Raw genomic sequence first — 1984 nt, forward strand, 5'->3', positions numbered from 1 at the left:
TTCATCTCTAATTTGAATTATTTCAGTCTTCTCTTTGTTAATCTGGCTAAAGTTTTGTTGATTTTGTTTATCTTTTCAAAAAAGTCAACTTTTTGTTTCATTCATTTTTTGTATTGTTTTCTTCATTTCAATTTCATTTATTTCTGCTCTACTCTTTATTATTTCTTTTCTTTTGCTAATTTTGGTTTTGGCTTGCTCTTGCCTTTCTAGTTCTTTAAGATAAATCATTAGGTTGCTTATTTGAAGGTTTTTTTTCTTTTTAAAGGAAGCATTTGTAGTTATAAACTTCCCTCTTTGTTCTGCTTTTGCTATATCCCATAGGTTTTGGTAGGTTGTTTTTCATTTATCATTTGTTTTAAGGAATTTCTTGATTTCCTTCTTAATTTCTTCACTGACCCACTAGTCATTCAGGAGCATATTGTTTTATTTCTTCCAACTTGGAGCTCCACTCCATCTGTAGTGGCCATCTTCCTGAGTTGTCATGGCCAATCAGATGCTGAAGCAAATGCTTTTAAACTATCAGGGTTACATTGGTGCAGCCCTAGTTTTAAGGAGATTGAGAGTTTTTACTGGACCTCACCTCTACAGCATCTATCCTCATGAATAAACTGATAACTTGCCTCATCACCATGGATGCTTAGCAGCAAAGGCTGTATTTGAAGATATTCTAGGCCAGATATGGGAGAAGAGGAAGCAAAGAAGATGGTAAGTGAAGCCACTGCAGCTGGCTTCTTCAACAACCTGGGCTCTGGAAGCCACATTGATCTCAGCATTATAGGCAAGAGAAAGGTAGATTTTCTTGGCCGATTCACAGTGCCCAAAAAGAAGGGGACTAGATTTGGCAGGTACAGGTGTGAGAAAAGGGACCACTGCAGTCCTCACCAAAGAAGCCACTACTTTTTCGAGGCGTTGGAATAAAAGTCCAACCAATGGACACTTTCTGAATGGTGTCAGTGGGTGGCTGGCTATTGCTGTAGAAGATGGCAGCCATTGGAGGCCCTCCTGCAAGACATTTATTTGGCTATGTTTGCTGAATGAAACTCAATAAAAAATGAAAACAAAAGAAAAGAATGAATAAAACCTAGTATTTATTTTATAGCACAACAGGATAAATATAGAGCTTATCCACTGATGGTGGGAATGTAAATTAGTTCAGCGAATGTGAAAAGCACTTTGGCAATTTCTGAAAGTTAAAACAGAATTACCATTTGACCCAGCAATTCCATTATTGGGTATATACCCAAAGGAATATAAATTGTCCTACCATAATGACACATGCACGCATGTGTTCTTCACCTCACTATTCAAAATAGCAAAGACATGAAATCAACCTCATCTCCCATCAATGGTACAATAGACAAAGAAAATGTGGTACATATATACCATGGAATACTATGCAGCCATAAAAAGGAATGAGATCATGTCCTTTGCAGCAACCTGAATAGAGCTGGAGGCCATTATCCTAAGCAAACAAATGCAGGAACAGAAAACCAAATGCTTACAAGTGGAAATACAAATACTCACTTCTAAGTGGAAGCTAAATATTAAGTACATATGGACACAAAGAATGGAACAACAGACCTTGGGGTCTACTTGAGGATGGAGGGTGGGAGGAGGGTAAAAATAGAAAAACTACTTACCAGGTACTATGCTTATTACCTGGGTGATGAAATAATTTGCACACCAAATCCCCGTGTCATGCAATTTACCTACATAGCAAACCTGCACATGTACCCCTGAATCTAAAATAATAATAATTATACATTTTAAAATAACTAAAAAAGTATAATTGGATGTTTGTGACACAAAGAATAAGTTCTTGAGGAGATACATATGCCATTTTCCATGATGTGACTATTGCGTATTGCATGTATGTAACAAAGCATCTTATGTGCCACATTAATACATGCACCTACTATGTACCCACAAAAATTAAAAATAAAAAAGTTCTTAAAGTAAAATAAAATGAATTTTATAAAAATTA

General features: G+C 36.0%; 1 pseudogene; it reads left to right on the forward strand.

Moving 5' to 3' along the window:
* On the forward strand, window positions 426–1063 carry PSMB7P1 (PSMB7 pseudogene 1; annotated as a pseudogene).

Source organism: Homo sapiens, chromosome 14 (genome assembly GCF_000001405.40).
Source record: "Homo sapiens chromosome 14, GRCh38.p14 Primary Assembly".
Lineage (NCBI taxonomy): Eukaryota > Metazoa > Chordata > Mammalia > Primates > Hominidae > Homo > Homo sapiens.